Source organism: Homo sapiens, chromosome 6 (assembly GCF_000001405.40).
Source record: "Homo sapiens chromosome 6, GRCh38.p14 Primary Assembly".
Taxonomy (NCBI): Eukaryota; Metazoa; Chordata; class Mammalia; order Primates; family Hominidae; genus Homo; species Homo sapiens.
The window spans coordinates 167,197,344-167,218,913 of NC_000006.12; the positions used below are offsets into that span (position 1 = coordinate 167,197,344).

The following is a 21,570-nucleotide window of genomic DNA, read 5'->3' on the forward strand; positions in this document are numbered from 1 at the left end:
GAGAGGAATGTATATTCTGTTGATTTGGGGTGCAGAGTTCTGTAGATGTCTATTAAGTCTGCTTCATCCAGAGCTGAGTTCAAGTCCTGAATATCCTTGTTAATTTTCTGTCTCATTGATCTGCCTGATATTGACAATGAGGTGTTAAAAGTTTCCCACTATTTTTGTTTGGCAGTATATGTCTCTTTGTATTTCTCTAAGAATTTGCTTTATAAATCTGGGTGCCCCTGTATTGGGTACATATATATTTACGATAGTTAGCTCTTCTTGTTGCATTGATCCCTTTACCTTGTTGCATTGATCCCTTTACCATTATGTAATGCCCTCCTTTGTCTTTTTTGATCTTTGTTTAAAGTCTGTTTTATCAGAGACTAGGATTGCAACCCTGCTTTTTTTGCTTTCCATTGGCTTGGTAAATATTCCTCCATCCCTTTATTATCTCACACGTCTTTGCATGTGAGATGCATCTCCTGAATACAGCACACTGATGGGTCTTGACTCTTTATCCAATTTGCCAGTCTGTGTCTTTTAATTAGAGCATTTAGCCCATTTACATTTAAGGTTAATATTGTTATGTGTGAATTTGATCCTGTCATCATGATGCTAGCTGATTATTTTGCACATTAGTTGTTGCAATTTGTTCATGGTGTTGTTGGTCTTTATATTTTGGTGTGTTTTTTGCAGTGGCTGCTAATGGTTTTTTCCTTCCATATTTGGTGCTTCCTTCAAGAGCTCTTGTAAGGCAGGCCTGGTGGTGACAAAATCCCTCAGCATTAGCTTGTCTGTAAAGGATTTTATTCATTATGAAACTTAGTTCGGCTGGATATGAAATTATCGGTTGAAAATTCTTTTCTTTAAGAATGTTGAATATTGGCCCCCCACTCTTTTCTGGCTTGTATGGTTTCTGCAGAGATATCCAGTCTGATGGGCTGCCCTTTGTAGGTAACCTGACTTTTCTCTCTGGCTGCCCTTAACATTTTTTCCTTTGTTTCAAATTTGGAGAATCTGACAATTATGTGTTTTGTTGTTGCTCTTCTCGAGGAGTATCTTAGTGGTGTTTTTTGTATTCTCTGAATGTGAATGTTTGCCTGTCTTGCTAGGTTCGGGAAGTTCTCCTGGATCATATCTTGAAGTGTGTTTTCCAACTTGGTTCCATTCTCCCCATCACTTTCAGGGACCCCAATTAATTGTAGGTTTGATTGTTTCACGTAGTCCCATATTTCTTGGAGGCTTTGTTTGTTCCTTTTCATTCTTTTCTCTAATCTTGTCTTCTGGCCTTATTTTATTAAGTTGATCTTCGATCTCTGATATCCTTTCTTCTGCTTGATCAATTCAGCTATTGATACTTGTGTGTGCTCCATGAAGTTCTCATGCTGTGTTTTTCAGCTCCATCAGGTCATTTATGTTCCTCTCTAAACTGGTTATTTTAATTAGCAGTTCGTGTAACCTTTTGTGAAGTTTCTTAGTTTCCTGGCATTGGGATAGAACATGAACCTTTAGCTCAGAGGAGTTTGTTATTATCCACCTACTGAAGCCTACTTCTGTCAGTTAGTCAAACTCATTCTCCATCCAGTTTTGTGCCCTTGCTGAAGAGGAAGTGTGATCATTGGGAGAAGAAGAGAGGCATTCTGGTTTTTGGAATTTTCAGCATTTTTGTTCTGTTTTTTCGTCATCTTCGTGGATTTGTCTACCTTTGATCTTTAAGGCCGATGACTTTTGGATGGAGTTTTTGTGTTGATGTTGTTGTTGTCGCTTTCTGTTTGTTAGTTTTTCTTCTAACAATCAGGCTCCTCTTCTGCAGGTCTGCTGCAGTTTGCTGGAGGTCCACTCCAGTCCCTCTTTGCCTAGGTATCACCAGCAGAGGCTGCAGAACAGCAAAGATTGCTGCCTGCTCCTTCCTCTGGAAGCTTCATCCCAGAGGGGCACCAGCCTGATGCCAGCCAGAGCTCTCCTGTATGAGGTGTCTGTCAACCACTGTCGGGAGGTCTCTCCCAGTCAGGAGGCATGAGGGTCAGGAACCCACTTGAGGAGGCAGTCTGTCCCTTAGTGGAGCTCAAGCACTTTGCTTGGAGAACCTCCTTGTCAGGATCTGCTGCTTTCTTCAGAGCCAGCAGGCAGGAACGTTTAAGTCCGCTGAAGCCACGCTCACAGCCACCCCTTCTTCCAGTTGCTCTGTCCCAGGGAGATGGGAGTTTTATCTATAAACCCCTGACTGAGACTGCTGCCTTTCTCTCAGAGATGCCCTACCCAGTGAAGAGCAACCTAGAGAGGCAGTCTGGCCACAGCCACCTTGCTGCACTATGTTGAGTTCCACTCAGTCGTTACCACTGTGAGGGGAAAAACCACCTCCTGAAGCCTCAGTAATGGCGGATGCCCTTCCCCAAACCAAGCTCCAGTGTCTTAGGTCAACTTCAGACTGCTGTGCTGCCAGAGAGAATTTGAAGCCAGTGGTGCTTAGCTTGCTGGGCTCTGTGGGAGTGGGACCCACTGAGTGAGACCACTTGGCTCCCTGGCTTTAGCCCCCTTTGCAGGGGAGTGAACAGTTCTGTTTTGCTGAGGTTCCAATTGCCACTGGGAACGAAAAAAAAAAAAAAACCTCCAACAGCTAGCTCAGTGTCTGACTTAACAGCTGCCCATTTTTGTGCTTGGAACCCAGGGCTCTGGTGGTGTAGACACATGAGGGAGTCTCCTGGCCTGCAGATTACAAAAGCCATGGGAGAAGCGTAGTATCTGGACGAGTAACACAGTCCCACATGGCTTCCCTTGGCTGGGATAGGGAGGCCACCCACTCCTTGCACCTTCTGGGTGAGGTGACACCCCACAGTGTTTCTGCTCACCCTCTGTGGGCTACACCCACTGCCTAACCAGCCCCAATGAGATGAACAGGGTACCTAAGTTGGAAATGCAAGAATCACCCACCTTCTGCGTTGGTCTCACTGGGAGCTGCAGACCAGAGCTGTTTCTATCTGGCCATCTTGCCAGATCTATCCTGCCTAGTTTTTAAACTAAACTTAGTCATAGGCGTGCATGCCTGAGAAATGTCATAGTGCATACAGGGCTTGGTACTCTCTGTGGTTTCAGGCATCTACTGGGGGTCTTGGACTGTGTCCCTGAAGGATAAGGGGGGGTGTAATTGTGCATTTTCTGTATCTGTGTTATAATTCAATAACAAGTTTCAAAACTGAAGTGCACACATTGCAGGTGAAGAAGAGCATTTGGAGTTATTACTGTTAACTAGCGTCTTAGTAGAAAAGCATCTGGGCCAGCAGTTATGAAAGCAGATTCTAGTCCTATGTCTTCCACTAGCCAGCTGTGTGGCTTGAACAAGCCACTAACCTGCATGATTATTCTAGTGTTCCTCGTAAATATCATGTGAGTAATTTGAACTACAGTTACTGTAACGCCCAGTCCTTCCCGATCCCCAAATCTCTCCCTGGGTCAGGACCCTTGACCTCCACATTGCACTCCAGCTGCTGCTTCCTTTCTGGGAAACCCTCCAGGAGGGGCTGGGCACCCTCACCAGCCACACTTTTTACCTGGTCTCTTTAGGCCGCTTGATTCAGGTCTTCATCCCCAAAGCGCCATCGAGCTGCTCTGGCCGTGGACACCAGTGACATGATCCCTGCTAGACCCATGACTCACCCTCAGTTCGTGTCTAAGCAGACATTCCAGCAGCAACCGATGTTGTCACCAAGTCAGTCTTTCTGGGATCACCTCTCGCTGGGCCCCGGGCTAGCACGAACTCTCGGGTCTTCCTTTATCTCACTGGTTGTGTTTCTGGCTCCTCCCCGTCTTCTGGACCTCTAAAGCCGGGAAGGCCCAAGGATTCCGATGACCACGCTTTGCTCTCCTCCATCCTCACTCCACACAGCCGGTCTCTTGACTTCCAATTTCCTGTCTCTCCAGATGGAATCTCCAGTAGGTGCCAGTCCTATGGATCTAACTGCCCCTCAACAAAACCACCTGAATGTCTGCTCACATGCAGAAATTAACTTACCCAGAACCAAACCTTGATTTTTTTACCCCACAAACCTGCTACTCTCTGAGGCTTCCTCAGTCTGAGTAAACGACCACTTCATTCTTCCAGGTCTTTGTTAGGCCAAAGGCCTGGAGCTTTCCATGGCTGTCTTTCTCTACACTGGCATCTCCCTAGACTCTACCTTTAAAGAACATCCAAAGTCTGACCACCTCTCCTGCCACCATGACCACCCTGGTACAAGCTGCTATTGTTTCTTGCTGGGGCGATTTGAGAGCTTCTTAACTTAGCCTTTTTGTCTTACTCCTGGGCTGATGGTGTCTTCTCCATCTTGTAGCCAGAATGATCTTTTTATAAAGAAGTCACTTCATGCCACTCCTCTGATCAAGGCTTTCTAGTGGCTTCTGTACTGGGATCAACAGTGTCCCCCAAAATTCATGTCTTCCCAGAACCTCAGAGTGTGACCTTTGGAAATGGGGCTGTTGCAGATGAGGTTAATCCAATATGACTAGTGTCCTTCTGTGGACACCAGTGGCATGAAGTTCCTCTTCTTAGAGGAACTAGACACAGAGACACAGAGGAGAAGGCTGAGCAAAGACACAGACACATGGGGAAGAGGCTACGTGGAGATGGTGGCATAGATTGGAGTGGTCCATCTACGGGCCAAGGAACACTGGGGATGGCCTGCAGCTCCAGAAGCCGAAGAGCCAGGAAGGATCCTCCCTTAGGGTTTTCAGAAGGGCCTGGCCCTACTGCCATCTTGATAGAATTCTGGCCTCTAAGCTGTGAGAAGTGAATGAATTCCTGCTGTTTTTGCCACTCAAATTTGTGGTGCTTTATTATGACACCCTAGGAAATGAATACGGGTTCCCATGTGGCTCAGAATAAAACTTAAGGGCCTTACCTCGGTGCTGGGCCCTGTGCGATCTGGGACCTCTCCATGGGCCTCCTCTCAGACCTCAGCCCCCCCTTTACCTCCCTGGCTTTCCCGCTGGGTGCTGCAGCCTCTCCCACCACCTCGTCAGAGGAAGCAGTGTTTCTGCCCTGCACACAGCTGTGCCATGTCTGTCCTCATGCCCTCGCCCTATTCCATTGCTCTTCCTGCCTCTGGCCACCCACAAACCGATTTTACATTTTTTTCTGTAGAATAGAAACTTATTGAGAACAAAACATTGCTGTTTAAAGCCTGCTTGATTCACTATATCTAGGTCAATGTGTGGCACTTAGCAAATGCTTCACATTAAGTACATATTTGTTGGATGAATGAATGAATATCCTAATTTGCTTATTAGATAATTTTCTTGCATGATGAGAATGAGACCTGCTTGGAATTTGTTGGGGTTAAGGATGGAAGTGGAACAGATAGATGAGGTCTCAGGAAAGGTTGCTGCAAAAACAGAAATCACAGTTGCCTTCTGCAGGACTGGGCAGGTGAGGGAGGAGTGAGGGGACGGCCCTGGAAGGGGGCTGGCCTGGCGGGAAGGCCCGGGAAGGAGGGACAGGGGTGGTGGGTGGGGCTTTCTCCTGTACTTGGAGGCCGAGTGAGATCCATGGCTCAGTATTGAATGGGAGGTTCCCGAATCTGCTTCTCCTCAAGGCCTCTGTGCTCTCCTCGGAGCTGAGTGTGTGGACTGTGCAGCTCATCGGATGTGCACACACACACACGGGTGCTCATGGGCACACTTCCAAGTTGAACAGGTAAACCCTCTGGGTTTCAGGGCCATATTTTCAAAGGCCCACCCTGTCATTGGTGCCCTTTCAGGCCATGGCTGGAGATGAAGCAAAGCCTGCACTGCCAGCAATGGGCAGGAAAGAACTATTCCCTAAGGAAGGAGGCTTCCTATTGCCCACACGCATCAGGACAGGCAGACGGAGGCGTCATGGGAGATAAATAACTTGCTTTGCGTTCCCGGTGTGAGACTTTACCTTCCAAAGCGGTCTGGTCGAACGCCTCTGTAGATTTTTGTTTTGTCTTATTTTTGCAAACAGAATGACTAAGGAAAGGGAGGGAGTCAGGGACTGAGGGAGGGCGTGTCGCGTTGGGAGTCGGACAGATGCTCTCCAGACAGGGATAGTGAGTCAGGCACAGGAGGGAGCAGAGTGGGACATTTGCAACGTGGGTAGGATGGAGGCTTTGTAGTCACCAGGGGAAACCCACGGCGGCGTCTGTCTTTCACCACAGGAGACTGTTCTCTGCCCATGCACGTTCCTTGAGGCCACGGTACAGCCCCTGTCCACCAGGGCACCACGTCTCCGGCCGCTGCTCCTTTGTGTGCCGGTCTGGCCGAGCAGGGGCCTGGGCAGGCAGTCTCGGGGGAAGGAGCGTGGCTGGCCCCGTGGCACCCGCAGCTCTCTCAAGAACGATTCCCGCCACACACGTGCTTCCTTCTGGATTTCCTACCCCTTCCAGGGTGCTGACCCCATGGGAAGAAAGGGGGAAGGAGGAAGGAAGACAAGTTTCCTGATTCCTTCCCCAGACTCAGGTCTTCTTTCAGCTGGCGTGATCTGTCCTCGGGACGCTAGGAGAAGGTGGGCTGGGAACTTCTGAGAGAACATTCCAGAGGGACTGGAGTGGGGCCCCGGGGACTCAGGCAGCTTTGACTTGGGCCTGGAAATGAACTTGGGAAAAAGAAGTAATGTCTGTTTGTTATTTGGCTGTGAAGCTGGAACAGACTCAAGTACCTTGACAAAGGCCAGACACCTCAGTGCTTTGGAGCTCTCCTGCGGGTTAGCTATCTCGGCATCACGGCTTTCACTGGGGTGAGGTAGCGATGAGTCACTGACTAAACAGACCCAGGCTAGGCGGGTGCTACAGAGGCCCCAAGCCCAGGCGTGGACGGCCCTCATCTCAGGAGGGTGCACACTCCTGGTCTCATTAGCAGACCTTGCTCACACACGTTCAGAGAATCACGTTCCAATGAGATCATTGCAGTTAGCAAAGATCACAGTCACCAAACAGCCGTAACAACCCATCAGAGAAGAGTGTCCACTACACTCGCTCCATGTTTTTTGGCCGGGGACCCACATGAAAATCCCCTTACATTTTGGGACCTAGAAAACGAATCTCTTTCTTGATGCTGGCAGGCCTCTTTTCATCAAAACTGACTATTTTATAATTTGCATTTATTTTTCTGCCGTGGCTGCCAGCAAGCTCAGGGCTAATCTTAGAATGCAATAGTAACTGCAGATGGGCAACAGATCTGGGTCAGCGGCACCCTCCCTGTCTCTTCATTATATGCTCTTAACGTTTTAATTTCTATATTTAAGGGCTTTCTTATAGATAGATCTTTAGATTTTAGAAAATTTTGTATAATATATTGTGGCATACATTATATTTTTTAAAAATCTTGCCTTCATCAAATCTCTGATCAAGTAAAAACAGGGCACATTTGCCTCTGAGTCCTGGGAGTTGGGCCATGGAAACTTAAGACTGATGAATGAAATGTTATGAAAGCTTAGAAGAACGCACTGCAGTTCAGGGATTGACAGAAAAGCACTGCATTTTAAGCTTGGTTTAGGGGATAGCTGTTCTTATTGTTCCCTTGTATAGCTCTTGATAGCACTTTGTGATACACACTGTTTTAATTTTTCTTTGTGAAGTAGGAATATTCCCAGTTTACACACTGAATACTAAAAAGAGTGAGGTTAACTAATTTGCTTTGACACAATGGAAAGTGAGGCTCCTATTAAGAGTTTCACAAATTGGACCCTTAACCTGGAAACTGGTTAGAAAGGTTTTGTGATCAAAGTGACCTGGACGCACCAGCAGTCATGTGAAAACTAGAGAGAGAAACTATTTTTTCTGTAGTGTGTAGATGTTCTGATTGAAATAAATGCTATCTGGAGACCCGAAAAACCAAAAATTTGCTTTGAAGTCCCGTTACTGTTCAACTTTCCCGCTAAGCACGTGCTGGGCTGGCAATACTGATACGACCCAGGGACCCAGCCACACACCCTCCCCCCGGGACCAGGAAGAGATTAGAATCTGGTTTGCTCTTTCTCTAGGCTCTCACCAGGGCACTTGGGCGCAGCCACAAATGCTTCAGTTCCAAAATGCAAAGGATGAAGAAATCAGAAAAGTCCCCAATGCCACCGGCCACCTTTAGGGAGAGCCTGGCTGTCCAGACAAGATGCAGGTCAGGTGCATAGCAGTGGGGTAGTGCTGTGTGTTGAGGGCATCTGCGTAGCTCTAGCTGGCTGCTCCCAAAAACCAGACCCTCCATCGAGCTCGATTGAACCCCCCCAGTGACTCGGAGGAGGCTCGGGCTCCTGTCACACAGACCCTCCGTTGAGCTCGATTGAACCTCTCCAGTGACTCAGAGGAGGCTTGGGATCCTGTCACTCAGACCCTCCGTTGAGCTCGATTGAACCCCTCCAGTGACTCAGAGGAGGCTTGGGCTCCTGTCACACAGAGTCTGGCACTTTCCTGTAAGCATCAACATCAGCAGAACACGATCATGGCTCAGTCTCTGAGCAGAATTCTGATGATCCTGCAACCCCAACTGGACTCTTCTAAACTAGCAAGCTCTCTGTCCCAGGAGCACTTGGAGAGGCTGCCCTGCTCCACCTCACTTCTGAACGGCCGGCTGGAGCCACACAGACGCACACTGGTTTGGACACGTGCACACGCACTCCCCAACTCCTCTCACCTCTGGGTCCTCCCCTCCAGCCTTAGGCCCAGGGCTCACTCCTTAGTGCCCCCCACACCTCATGAGCAGGCCTAGTTCATTGTCTCCAAGACATTCTGCAAAGGCCTCACTACCCCCGAAGGTCTAAGGAGTTCCTACTGACTTAGGGTCTACAGGGTTCAAAATGCTCTGAGCAGACTGAGAAACCAAAGACCAGTTCCAAATAAGACTTATCCTGAGGAGCACCAGGAGTGCCCATCATCAATTCACAAAATCCTAAACCTCCAAATGGAGGGGACGTGACATGTTACCTCACCCTCGATGAACGCCCTCTACACAAATACCCTAGCCAGTCTTGACTCCTTTTGACATGACCCTGTTGTGGGAGCTGCAAAGACCATCATGGATCCCACAAACAGGCATGGCGCTGGGCAAGACGGCCATGGATCCCACAGACAGGGATGGCACCAGGTAGCCCATGGTGCATGGCGGGAAAGGGGAGGGCAAAGCAGGGCAGGGATTAGAGAGTGCAGAGGCCCAGCTTTAGGAAGCTGGTTGAAGCCTGCAAAGAGTTAACGGCATTCCACTGGGTCTGGGAGGATAAACGTGGTTTGGATAGAGACACAGGAGCAGCAGGAGCGAAGGGCCCACAAGGGAAGGACCTCGGTATTTAACAGAAGCATTGGACAGAGAAGTCTGGTGAAATGGACGGAAGGCTAGAGAGGCAGCTGGGATTAACTCACAGAGGCCTGGACTGTCCCAGCCAGGGGGTAAGATTGTGCTCTTTAGATGGGCGCTGGAGGGTGAAGTGTCCTGTGCTTTAGCAAAATCCCTCTCTTGATAGCTCAGATGGAGGAGAGGACAAGCCCTGCATGGAGGACAGTCAACCAGGAAGCAACTGAGAGGAAATGGAACGGAGGCGGAGGATCCAAAGACAGGAGGAGGGATGGCAGTGCCTGCTCCCTGATCAGCCAGGCTGGGGAGAGGGCAGCACGCCCCAAATGAAGGGCACGTGAGGCTGGGTGACAAGAAGAAGGCTGCTGGTGGTCAGAGACACTGGGCTATCAGGGGAATTCTAACAGGTGGGAGAAAATGCACAGCTCGGCGTGGGGCAGCTTGAGAGGTAACATTCGAGAGGCCAGGAGGCATTAGCTCGTGGCAGCTGCACTTTTCTCTGCCTTTGATCATCGCCTGTCTGGGCACCTGGCTGTCACTGACTGGAAGGAGAAAAGGCCAGGGCCGGGTGGCATTTGCTCCCCCTCCCATGGTCAGAGGTGGCCAGTGGCCTAATGAATTAGGGTGAGTGAAGGAAGCATTTGGAATTTCATGGAGAGGCCCATTTCCTTCCACACATATGAAGCACCTGCTAGTGCTGTGTAATAGACGCTAGAAAGCTGAAGTTCCAGGAGGAGGAGATGCTTGTAGAAACAATAAATGAACAACATGCAGGTGGGAGAGCCACAGACAAGACCTAGAAGGTTTAGAGGAAGCCTCAGTGTGAACCAAAGAGGAAGGGGAGGAAGAGGAAGGGGAAGGGGAAGGGGAAGGAAGCAGCTTAAGGTTAAAGGAACAAAAGAGAAACAAAGCTCCAGGCACACATGCTGGGGAGGGCCGGGGAGGCCAAGGAGAGGCAAGGGAGAGGCCAGGGAGGGCTGCAGAGTTGGGGGAGGGTAGGAGAGGGGCAGGGAGGTGGCTGAGGGTGCCAGGGGGAGGGCCCGGGAGGGAGGTGTGGGTGGAGGACTGAAGGGGGCCAGTGAGGAGGGGTGCTGGAAAGGGTGCTGGGGAGGGAGGGGTCTGGGAAGGGCTGGTGAGGGTCAGAGGACCCGAGCATATTGGACAAGGAAGAAGCCTTGGAGATCAGCGGCCAGCAGCGCTGCTAGGAAGAACAAGGGAGAGAGGAGACCAGGTGCCAAGGGACAAGACGATGACTGTGAGATGGGCAAATATCACTCAACCCATGCCCGGCACCATTTTCCATGTTAACAGACACGTGTAGCATCTTCACCTGAAATGCTCTCGAAGGTCTGCGAAGGCCACAGCACACTAAAGCACTGATGTGATGAAGTGTGTGTGTGTGTCTATGTGAGTACTTAGCACAACAGTACTTGGGCAGGAGGTAAGTCCGTTAAATAACCGTCTTTATTTAGAAACGCAGACCCCACACGTTTCAGGAATCCTGAGCCCCAGTCTGGCTTTGTCACCCCCTGACTCTGTGAGGTTGAGTCAGCTGACTTGTCAGGACCCCTTTGTAAAATGTATGAGGTTTTGATCCAAGTAGAGTTAGAAGTTTAAAAGTTCGCCCATTTGTAAAATTATGGGGCTCAACTACATTTTTTAAGCAGGCTTCCAATTCTTAAAAACAACTACAGCAATAAAACTAGGGTGAGTCTATGATTTCAGGCAAATTCTAATTGGCTGATTGTACGTTAGACCTTTTTCTTTTGCATCTAAAATTAAATGAACTGATACCTTCATGTATACACTTGATCTCTGTTAAGATGGTGGACTAAAAATTTGTTAGAATAGAAAAAAAATACATAAAGAGTGAAATAATATGATCTCTTCAGAATGGCCAAATTGTGCTGAGATGGTGATGAGGAGCCGCTCTATGTCCTGAGGCATCTTCTAAGAAAACTCTCTGGCTGGTGCTTTCTGAGTTCATCCTCCTCAGACCTCACTGCTCTCACATTTTTGTTTGTATTTCTTCATCCTCTGCCTGGTTCGCCTGTCCTGGAGCGTGGGGTCTGATCGGGTTCTTGGACTCCACGCGCTCCACAAGCCCATACGCCACCATGGTCAGGCTCAGGACCCCCAGCAGAATGTAGAGCTTGACGTGCACGCACAAAAACGTGCTGTACCCGAAGGCAATGACGAAGCCCAGGGCCTCCCACAGGCGGTGATTGGCGAAGGCAGCTTCCTTGCTCTTCTCAAACAGAACGCCGTAGAGAGCTGCAGAGGAGAGAGCGGAGTGAGAGCTCTGCCATGGGCCCCACAGTGACCCTGTTCGTGAAAAGAGCACAGCTTTCCCACTGCCCCATTTTCTCAACTAAATCAGAAACAAACGAACGAACAAACAGGGATTTCACATTGCGGATGCGGCTTGTCAGTGGCGAGTCAGTGGCTTCCCCAGCAGGGGGGCAGTCACCATCCGCGGGTGAAGCAGAACCCAGGAGACCCCGGCCCTGGGAGGAGTCTCAGCCCTCCCCTCACTCTGCAGACAAGGGGCACACAGCCCGGAGATGAAGCTCGCCTGAGGTGAGTTGTGGCTGCCTACCAGCCTCCAAAAGCAACAGCTAACGCAGGTAACAATCACACGGGTAAAGACACTCATCCTTTCCCTTAGGGAATGTCGTCAGATATGTGTACTGAAGCTTAGCAGAGAAGAGATCTTCACCTCCAGATTTTCAGATCACTGCAGCAGAGTCAGCAAAATCACTGCTGGGTGGGGGTTTCATTCCCATGTGGAGACTTGAAGAGCAAAGTCTGTTCCCTAAGCACAGCTTCCACGTCAAGGGACTCCTACCTGTGCCTCCAAGAAAGGTCTAAAGTCTATTAAGTGAGCCCTGGGGGGATGTTAAAGACCCCTCAGGTGGTTGCCTTAAGGTTTGGGGAGAAATGACCTAAGTCTATGCCATGGGCTGAATCCTGTCTCCCCAAATTCACAGAGTTAAGTCCTAGCCCCCAGTTCCTCAGGATGCGGCAGTGTTTGGAGACGGGGGCTTTACAGAGGTGGTTATGTTGAATGAAGCCTTCGGGGGGGCCCTGTCTGGTCTGCCAGGCTTGCGAGTTCCAGCCTCCAGCCCTGCGGGACAGGTCTGTGGTGTAAGCTGTCCCATCTGTGGTACTTGTGTTGGCAGCCCAGGCTGACTCACACGGTCTGATCAATACTTGTAAGTGAAGGCAAGTTAACGTTTCTGTCCTATTTGCTGTGTAGTCATATTTTGAGATACCTGGATGAGAACAGCTAGAGATGGCCGGGCAGTGACCACACCTGGACCGACAAGGGACCCTCCAGAGCATCCAGTACATCCTCAGCCCTCCTCCACCCAGGACCCCCTTCACCTCCTGGGCATGGCAGGCTCCTCCCCACGTGCCTGCCTTCCTCCCACCATGCCCAGGAAGGCCCCTGCATGGTGGGTGATCCCCTGGTCCCCTCCAGGGCTTTACACTGTCCCCTCAAGCCCCTCTCATGTAGCGTTCCCCTAGCCCAGAAGCAGGCCAGGTGAGTGCCATTCTTTCCTTTCCTCCTCCCTTCCCCGTCTCTGACATCTCAAAACATAGGAGAGAGGATGTGGGGGAGGAATGGCCCCACCAGTACTGAAGAGCCGGGTCCTTCCAGCCCCTTCTGCCCACGCAAGCCAGGCTACAGCACACAGAGGAGCAGCGTCCGAGGCAGCACCAGGGCCTGGAAGGCTAGGGGCGAGGCCCTGTGCACCCCCCATGCAGGAAGATGAGCGTCCACTCTGGGCAACCTGAGCTTGTTGCAATCTCCACCCCACAGCTTCGCGCCTTCACCCTTTAGACACCCAGTGGGAAGGGCTTCACCCTCGGCAGTAACTCAGAACCTGGCACCGGCACACATGGGGGGTCCCTGCAGGCCACTCAAGGCCTAGTGGCCCCCATAGGCAGGCACAGCCCCCCAGCGAGGGACCGCAGGAGAAGCAGCCTCTTGCTTGTGATTTAAATGCAGTGGCCCATTTTGGGACTCCCCCCAGGCGGCCGGCCACACAGACTCAGGAAAACCCTCCACAGGCTGAGGCCAAGTGGGCAGAGGGAGCAGGGACAGGAACAGGGTCAGGAGCCGACCAAGTTCTGGTGGGCCAGGGTGTGCGGTGACTGCACTCAGGGGCTGAAACCAGGGGCAGAAGCATGCGGTTCCCAAGAGGATTCCAGACTGCGAGCCCTGGGGTCCTTGAGGCAGGGAGGATTTCATTTAATTTTGTAAACTCTATGGCATCTGGCTCAGCGCAAACCGTCTTCCCAAAGACAAGCTCTGCCCACCCCTCCTTAGTCCTAGAGATGATGCCGTATGCAGGGAGGCACAGCATTGCCTGTGCTTGGCGAGGGCACCTGTCCGGCTGTGGCTACAGGGAGGGCAATGACAAGGGCTGTGAAACACTGCCTGGGAAGCCACGTCCCCAGCTAGCAGGGCCCTGGCCCTGGGAGGGCCTGGGGGGATGAAGTCCGGTCTCTCCCAGACAAACAGATGATGTCAGTGAGAGAGGGATTCCCTCCAAGAAGGAAAGTGTCAGATAAACACCCTGGAACACAGGCGCTTGCCTTCCTGGGGGCGGGCCTTCTTTCAACAGCACCGTTACAGACATCCTGTGAACAAGGCCCCAGGGATGTTCTATTCCCATCCAGAGAGGTGCTTTTTTTTTTTAAAAAAAAAAAAAAAAAAAAAAAAAGGCCTTTCTCTGGATATAAAGAAAGTTATGAGAAGCAGCTGGTCCCAGGCTTTGTTAATTGGTTTTATACAAAACAACTCACATTATGAATATTCCTCTACTGCTAAGGACCAACACAGATATGTGCTTTCAGCCAGGGAGTCCCCGCTTAGAGCCCTAAGATTCACATTGCAAACAGCTTATGAACATTCAAGAAACAAGAGGCTCTTTGGAACCCTCAGGAGAAGGCACCCTTCTTGTCCCACAGTGCACAGTGTCCACCTTAATAAAAGCAATAACCCAAGGAGAATCAAGTAACCAAATTTAGATTTAGTTGTGGCTTCTAAGACTATTCTAAACACCTCTTGTCTTTTTTTTGAGGGTGACTCTTGGCACTGGATCCCAAACCAAGGTTGAGGGAAGAAAATGCAAGTTGAGACACCGTGGCTACAGGTGGTAGACCACGCCACGTTCTATGGCTAAAAGTGCCCGGCTGTACTCCAGGCAGGTCGGAGAACCAGAGCCAATGGATCCAGGTTATAAATATTCTAGTAATACAGGCAACTCTAATTTTAAGCTAACTTTTTGGGAATATGGGTTGGTATCTTTCCAAGATTTCAAGATGAAATTTAGATTGTGCTGCCATGATTAGAAATTGCTGTCCTCCAAGAAAGGGACTCATCTCCCTTCATCAAGTTCTGGTTGGTTCAAGGCCAGCTCAGCTTCCTCCTAAGCAGACATGTGCTGCTCAGCCCTCTGAGGTTTTCATGAACTTAAACTTCCTGGGCCCTCAATGCTTCATATGTGTCACATGAAGAACTTCCCATTGTCGGAGTCTGGTTCCAAAATCTGGCCCTAAAGGGGAGATTCACAGCAAAGAGAGAAAGAGCTGGACTGTCTGCTAGCTCACATACTTGTGTTCAAAATTGCCTGGATGTGTTTGGGAGACAGTAGCGTCCCCAGCCTGGAGGACTTGGGACCCAGAAGGTGGCTGGAAAGCGGGCTGCCCCCTGGTCACACCACAGAACTGAGGAGGCCGAATAAGACGGGTGTGGCCCCAGACAGAGGTGAAACCCTCACTCCTGCCTGTCTCCTAACACGGCTCTACCCACAGAAGCAGGGTCCACACCCACAGAGGGAGATGCCTAGGACCCAGAGGATGCTGCTGGAACTGCCTTCAAGAAAACAAGGAGGAGGAATGGGGGGAACCATTCACCCACTCGGGAAAGGGGAAGCCACATGTGTGAATGACAGCAGCCCAGGCTAGGGGAGGAGAGGCCAATGCCAGTCATAACTAAAGTCAGGCTTTTCAGGGAATTACTCAAGATTTGGCTCCTATGTTAATCCAAACATAAAGAGAGCAATGCATTTATTGTTTGTAATTGCAAGGAAATACCCACAGCTAATGACATAGTGGGGAAAGACATTTTTTAAAAAGGAAAGTAGACTGAAAACGGTATTTCAACAATTCTGAAATGACTGTACATGTGTACAAGATTGAACACATAAGGAAGCAGTCATACCTAGTGGGAACCAGGCTTCTGGCTGCTGCAGAAAGGAGTGACAGCTACGCAGTGGGGGCTAGAATAAGCCCTGTGGTGCTGGATGGGGCCAGGCATCCGTATGAACTTGCATGCATTGCAATGCGAAAGCAGCTGGAGACAGACATGAACACAGATGTGTGTACACAGGCAGAACACAGGCAGGTGTCTCCTCTGTCCAACCCTGAGGGCCTGGAGACAACGGCACCTCAGCAGCCATGAGCACAGCCTGCACTCAAATCTTGGCTTCTAATATAATTTTCCAACAAAACAAATGTGGGTTCCTCTGAGAAATGCTGATTCTTGCCCTAGAGAAGGGAAAAATACAAAAGATAAGCGTGGAATACATTCTAGTGCTAGAAAGTAAGAATGCACTGAAAAGAAAAGCCACATACACGTGTCTATATCTATTTATGGCCCATCAGAAGGACACAAGAGCCAATGGGAAAGAGCTCAAAGCAGCCACAGAAGAAATAATGTGGCGATGGATGGTGACCCAAAGTGTAGAGTAAATATATGAGCCCATGCTGACGCAGATCAATGATTGAGTAATAAATACATCGGGGAGAAGGGACAGGCGTTTTTTATGGAAGAATTACAGAGTACACATAGACATTCCTCAGGGTGGAGATTAGCTGCTGTCTTCTTGACTGCTGGCTCCCTGGGCACTCGCTCCCGCAGAACCGCGTGTGGAAAGGGAAGGCAGTGGGTTTGCAGTGGAGAGATGTGGCCGGCACCACGGAGCCAACGGGATCAAGGTTAACATCGCTGGTGAGGAGGCCTGTCCCTGTCCTGTATCCCCCATATGACGGGACAAGAAAGCGCCTCACCAGGGAGCTGTCCTCCGCAAACCCACAGCCCCAGCCTAATCATGAGAAAACAGCAAACAAACCAAAATTAAGGAACAGTCTACAGACTACGGTGCTCTTCAAAAGAGTCCAGGTCATGAAAAACAAGGAAAATGAAAAGCTGTCACAGAGCAGCCAGAAGATCCGATGACTGAGTCCAACAGGGAATCCAGGACAGGATCCTGGCACAGAAAAAAGAACCTCGTGGGAAGCCTGGAGGAACCCAAATAAAGGCTGTCCCCCGACTAACTGTCACATGGCAGCGTTACTTCCTAGCTGTTCGAATGTGCCGTGGCTCTGTGAGATGCTCAGCATTTGGGGAAGCTGGCACAGGGCCTACGGGGTAAATGCGTTGGATCTATAGGTTGGTACCTTTCAAGGGGACTCTCTGTACTACATTTGCAACTTTTTTGTAAATCTAAAACTATTTCAAAATAAAAGCTGTATTTAAAAAGACAAAGCATTGCTCTCAGCCTGGCCTGTCTGCCTCCTCTTCCCAGGTGGCCCAGGGTTAAAGAGACCAGGATGCTGCTCCCGTCCTCAAACACTGGGATGTGGATGAGAAGCCCAACGATGTTGTTTGGTCAAAGAAGACAGTTAAGTGAATGGGGCATTGAAGAGAAGTCAGGGCAAAAGAGTATTTTTAGACTAGACATTCTGTATCTTCACGGCAGCGCATTGGCGGGGAAGGGTTGCCATGGCAACTGCACCCATCTTTCGTTAGCTGTCCGAGGGAATAAGCAGAGAGGAGTGCCTGGCACAGATCTCCCCTTGAGAGGCCGGGGGATGGCTGGAGCCCAGTGGGACAGTGACCCGGGCCCGGGCTTCCTCAATTCTGCCCCAGGAAGGAGGGGCTTGAATGGTGAAGTCCTCTGACCTGCTTCTATGTGGGAGACTGTAATGATCAGTCTTTAAATTGAGCAGTGATGACTGAAAGGTGAGGACAAAGTGCACTGGGTTTTATTCAGTGTCGTTAATTAGGAAAGTACGTGTCCCACATATTTTCTTTTTCTTTTTCTTTTTCTTTTTTTTGAGATGGAGTTTCACTCTTGTTGCCCAGGCTGGAGTGCAATGGCGCGATCTCAGCTCACTGCAACCTCTGCTTCTGGGGTTCAAGTGACTCTCCTGCCTCAGCCTCCTGAGTAGCTGGGATTACAGGCATGCGCCACCACATATGGCTAATTTTGTATTTTTAGTAGAGACGGAGTTTCTCCATGTTGGTCAGGCTGGTCTTAAACTCCCGACCTCAGGTGATATGCCTGCCTTGGCCTCCCAAAGTGCTGGGATTACAGGCGTGAGCCACCGTGCCTGGCCTACACTTTTTCTTTTTCTTTTTTTTTTTTTTTTTTTTTTTTTGGTGAGACAAATTCTTGCTCTCTCGCCCAGGCTGGAGTGTAGTGGCACGATCTTGGCTCATTGCAACCTCTGCCTCCCGGGTTCAAGCAATTCTTGTTCCTCGGCTTCTGGAGTAGCTCAGATTACAGGTGCCTGCCACCACACTTGGCTAATTTTTTGTATTTTTAGTAGAGATGGGGTTTCGCCATGTTGGCCAGGCTGGTCTTGAACTCCTGACCTCAGGAGATCCACCTGCCTCGGCCTCTCAAAGTGCTGGGATTACATCCCACATATTTTCTTAAAAGAAAGCACACATTTGGGGAGAATAAAATTAGAAATCTAACTTGCTATTTAGAAAAACAAAAATGAAGAGAGCTGCTCTTGAGATGTAGCCAAAGCTACATAAAATTTCCAGCTTTTTCAAAAAATAGAGAACAGAGACCTTGTGTGTGTGCTGTGCTGCATGGAGAGCCAGCCTGCCAGGAGTGCAGGAACGCAGTACTAAAATGCCACTCACGCATGACGATTGCGAGTACAAAGTCCCCAGGAGCTTCTCAAGTATGTGAAAATATTTTCCCCAACATTTTTTTTTTGAGACAGTCTTGCTCTGTCGCCCAGGCTGCAGTGCAATGACGTGATCTCAGCTCACTGCAACCTCTGCCTCCCGGGTTCAAGTGATCCTCCAGCCTCAGCCTCTTGAGTAGTGGGACTACAGGCATGTGCCACCACGCCTGGCTAATTTTTATATTTTTAGGAGAGATGGGGTTTCACCATGTTGGCCTGGCTGGCCTCGAACTCCTGAGCTCAAGTGATCCGCCACCTTGGCCCCACAAAGTGCTGGGATTACAGGCGTGAGCCATCATGCCAAGCTAATTTGATTTATTTTTGAAAAAAATTACTTTTTCCTGTACAGAAAGACAGAAATAGTTTCAATTTAAATTAGCATCCCTTATTAAAGGGAGTCTTTATTCCAGTCATTCACCGGACTTGGACGTTGATACTCTTTGTTTGACCTTAGGTAACTTTGTTTGCACAATTCAACAAGGCTTTCCCTGAGAGTATCATGTGTCCATATAAGGAAAAGGAGAGTTGAGTCCACTATTTACATAGCTCACGAAGAACAAAAACCAAATATGAATGATCACATTCATTGGGAGCATTTGGAGAGTTATCGTATGGAATATTGTGGGGATATTTGTCCCAGTGTTCTCCTTTTCATTTAATGTGTAAATACATTTTAAAATTCATGTAAGTTCAGATAAGTCATGGTGCACTTCTGGTAATGGGATGTGCATTTGGGGAGCTCAGTGAAACACCGGCTCTGCCACACATCCAGGGGACAGTTTAAACAAATGCTGTTTGATGCTTATTGGTAACGTAGCTAAGAGTCCAGCAGCGACGTGACATGCCACTAGGTTATAATTCTGCACTGCCAAGAACACCAAAGTGAGTTGCTGTTTGTCTCCCCTCCATTAAATCAGTATTTGTTCTGTTAAGCAATGCCCCGGCCTGGCCTCGGGTCCAGTCTACCCCTTCCAGCCTCCAGGCCTTGATCCCGACGAGCCAGAGTGTGGCGCTGGGCCAAGTACACACACATTTTGGTGAAGAGCTTCACTAGGTCCACCTGCATTACTGGGGCAGCAGAAAGGACTGTGAAACACGGCTCCTTAAATCCAACAGTGTGGGTTTGTTCAAAGGTGATTTTCAGCTGTCCTGTGGATACGCAACCCACCAGGAAGACAAGAAAGGAAGTGCCTGGAGTGTTCAGTCCACGATCTATGAGGTCACGTGTGCTCTTTATCCTCAGTGCAGGGACAGCAGCCAGGTCTGTCATCTCAGAAACATTGGCCTGTAGTTCGTTTGTGGGTTTGCTTTTTCCATTTTCTAAGCCCCGAGTGTTTGCCAGATAAAGGCAGAATGGTGAAGTCTCTCCTGAAGGGAAGAGGGTCTCATGTGAGCCATGCTCACCTCCGAGAGGACACTTCATCTCACCTCATCAGCATCTCTTAGACACGCAGTCTTGCCTCTTTGGGCCTCTGACACCCCTCGGGGCCTTAGATGGGGTTTTTGGGAAATTCAGGGTTCCTACCCTAAGTCCTCATCTGTGTCATTTTCAACACCACCCAGTACGCACACCCTCCGGCAAGCGGCCACACACACTGCCCCAGCTTCCTTCTCTCCCTAATGACCTTCCTCCAAAACCCTTTCATGCATCTCCTTGTGGAAAACATGGCCAGCCAGCACAAAGCACCTCAGAGCTCAGCAGAGCCTGGCACCAGCACCTGATATATGGCAAAAATGTTAACTTCAAGATACATATATGGTTCAACTTCACCAATAAATGTTATCCTCAATAAATGTTAATTGACTAAGATGATATTTTGACTTTCAGAGACAATACAAATTGGAATAATACGTAAAGAAATTAGCATAACGTGGACTTCTTCATACTAACCGTGTTATCGATCAATCAACTTGGACCTTATTTTTATTTTTTGGCAACACTTTAGTTTACTTCAGTTCTGGCCTCTCATTAGTTCCCACGGATGACCTGTATTTTGATATTAGAGGACCTTCCTGATGTTTTATTGCACTGTCTGCTGGTCTTTCTCCCTTGGTTGCTTCAACTCACCAGCCCCATCCTCTAGGACTCGCTCTCTGGCTCTGGGGGCTGTTTCCAGAGGCTGCTCTTCCCCTCCCCTTCACCAGCCTGTGCCTTCTAAGGAGCTTCCCTTTGTGCACAAATAAACCTGGTCTGTTTCCATCCTTCCCAGCCACACCCTCCCTGTCCCTCCAGCACTTCTACTGGGATTGAATTTCTGAAACCATGGCTTCAGTTACGTCTGCTTTTTCTCCCCCTTCCTCCCAGTTCCTCCTTTTAATCTATGTTCAAAGGGATTTTTAAAAAATGACCAGTATATTTCACTCTCTGCCTTTTCTCTGTAGCAGAATAAAATGCTACTCTTAGAGGAGATAGTTCCCAGCATCCCCCAGTGTTCCTGTGACCAGGGCAGGTCTTAGGATGAGACCACAGGGCAGGTCCCCCAGTGGTCTCATCATAAGCAAAGGGACACTCTTATCTTACCCGACCCCTGAGGCTGCCTTCCCGCAGCCTACACATTCCTGCAGACGTGGAGTTGCCTGAGGGAAGAGAGTGCAACCTCTAGAAACCCAGAGCTGGCTTGGCTCTCAGAGCTGGTTTTGGCATTATGAGCTCTGTGTGTGCACTGGAGCCATGGCCCGGCCCAGGGCTGACCTGCCAAAGGCCAAAGAGGGGTACGTGTAAAGGATTTAAAAGGTGTCAATAGCCACTTCAGTCCTTAAAATTAACATCTGGGCTCTATCAGCTTGAGAAAAGAAGTGGTTCTGTAGATCTGCTCGAATCTGCAGGTCACTCATTGGACGTTAAAATGACAGATGCCCTGGGTGATACAAAGCTCAGAGCACGCGTGTTCCGGAAAACCGAGACTTCACCAGCCACTAGATGGCACCGTTTTGCTACGGCTGAGTTCACCACAGGCGCCATGTGTTCTTCATGCTGTAGAATCACCTTGTAAATCACCAAACTTCCGGCTAAAAAGTCAAAGATTAATATAAGGGAAGTCTACTCAATGGTTTGCTTTTTTAAGGAATGTACTCATGTAAGCAAATTAATATCAATTTTCTTGACATTTACATCTGAAATCTTTGTTAATAAAAGCAACACCAAATAAATTCGAACGTATCTTATACCATTTTATCTGCATAAAGATGAAGAAGGTATCTATAGGGAATAGAACGAGTTCTTGGCTACTTTAGGGAATTTCACACTTTGGAAATAAATGTACTCATGCTGTGTGTGTGTGTGTGTGTGTG

General features: G+C 49.2%; 1 pseudogene, besides 7 other annotated features; it reads right to left on the reverse strand.

Annotated features, from left to right (window-relative positions):
* Positions 8,206–8,705: an enhancer, noted in NCBI's record as "H3K4me1 hESC enhancer chr6:167619037-167619536 (GRCh37/hg19 assembly coordinates)". NCBI's record gives its function as "activates a minimal SCP1, AML or CMV promoter by ChIP-STARR-seq in primed H9 embryonic stem cells {active_cell/tissue: H9 hESC(primed)}" and the evidence as "EXISTENCE:reporter gene assay evidence [ECO:0000049][PMID:30033119]".
* Positions 9,190–9,691: an enhancer, noted in NCBI's record as "H3K4me1 hESC enhancer chr6:167620021-167620522 (GRCh37/hg19 assembly coordinates)". NCBI's record gives its function as "activates a minimal SCP1, AML or CMV promoter by ChIP-STARR-seq in naive H9 embryonic stem cells {active_cell/tissue: H9 hESC(naive)}" and the evidence as "EXISTENCE:reporter gene assay evidence [ECO:0000049][PMID:30033119]".
* Positions 9,692–10,191: an enhancer, noted in NCBI's record as "H3K4me1 hESC enhancer chr6:167620523-167621022 (GRCh37/hg19 assembly coordinates)". NCBI's record gives its function as "activates a minimal SCP1, AML or CMV promoter by ChIP-STARR-seq in naive H9 embryonic stem cells {active_cell/tissue: H9 hESC(naive)}" and the evidence as "EXISTENCE:reporter gene assay evidence [ECO:0000049][PMID:30033119]".
* Positions 11,071–11,587: an enhancer, noted in NCBI's record as "H3K4me1 hESC enhancer chr6:167621902-167622418 (GRCh37/hg19 assembly coordinates)". NCBI's record gives its function as "activates a minimal SCP1, AML or CMV promoter by ChIP-STARR-seq in primed H9 embryonic stem cells {active_cell/tissue: H9 hESC(primed)}" and the evidence as "EXISTENCE:reporter gene assay evidence [ECO:0000049][PMID:30033119]".
* LOC100420305 (unc-93 homolog A (C. elegans) pseudogene) lies at positions 11,091–11,554 on the reverse strand (annotated as a pseudogene).
* Positions 11,588–12,102: an enhancer, noted in NCBI's record as "H3K4me1 hESC enhancer chr6:167622419-167622933 (GRCh37/hg19 assembly coordinates)". NCBI's record gives its function as "activates a minimal SCP1, AML or CMV promoter by ChIP-STARR-seq in primed H9 embryonic stem cells {active_cell/tissue: H9 hESC(primed)}" and the evidence as "EXISTENCE:reporter gene assay evidence [ECO:0000049][PMID:30033119]".
* Positions 15,603–15,722: an enhancer, noted in NCBI's record as "active region_25457". NCBI's record gives its function as "activates an Ori minimal core promoter by ATAC-STARR-seq in GM12878 lymphoblastoid cells {active_cell/tissue: GM12878}" and the evidence as "EXISTENCE:reporter gene assay evidence [ECO:0000049][PMID:35858748]".
* Positions 19,098–19,392: a silencer, noted in NCBI's record as "tiled region #9897; K562 Repressive non-DNase unmatched - State 21:Repr". NCBI's record gives its function as "represses a minimal TATA promoter and a strong SV40 promoter by Sharpr-MPRA in K562 cells {active_cell/tissue: K562}" and the evidence as "EXISTENCE:reporter gene assay evidence [ECO:0000049][PMID:27701403]".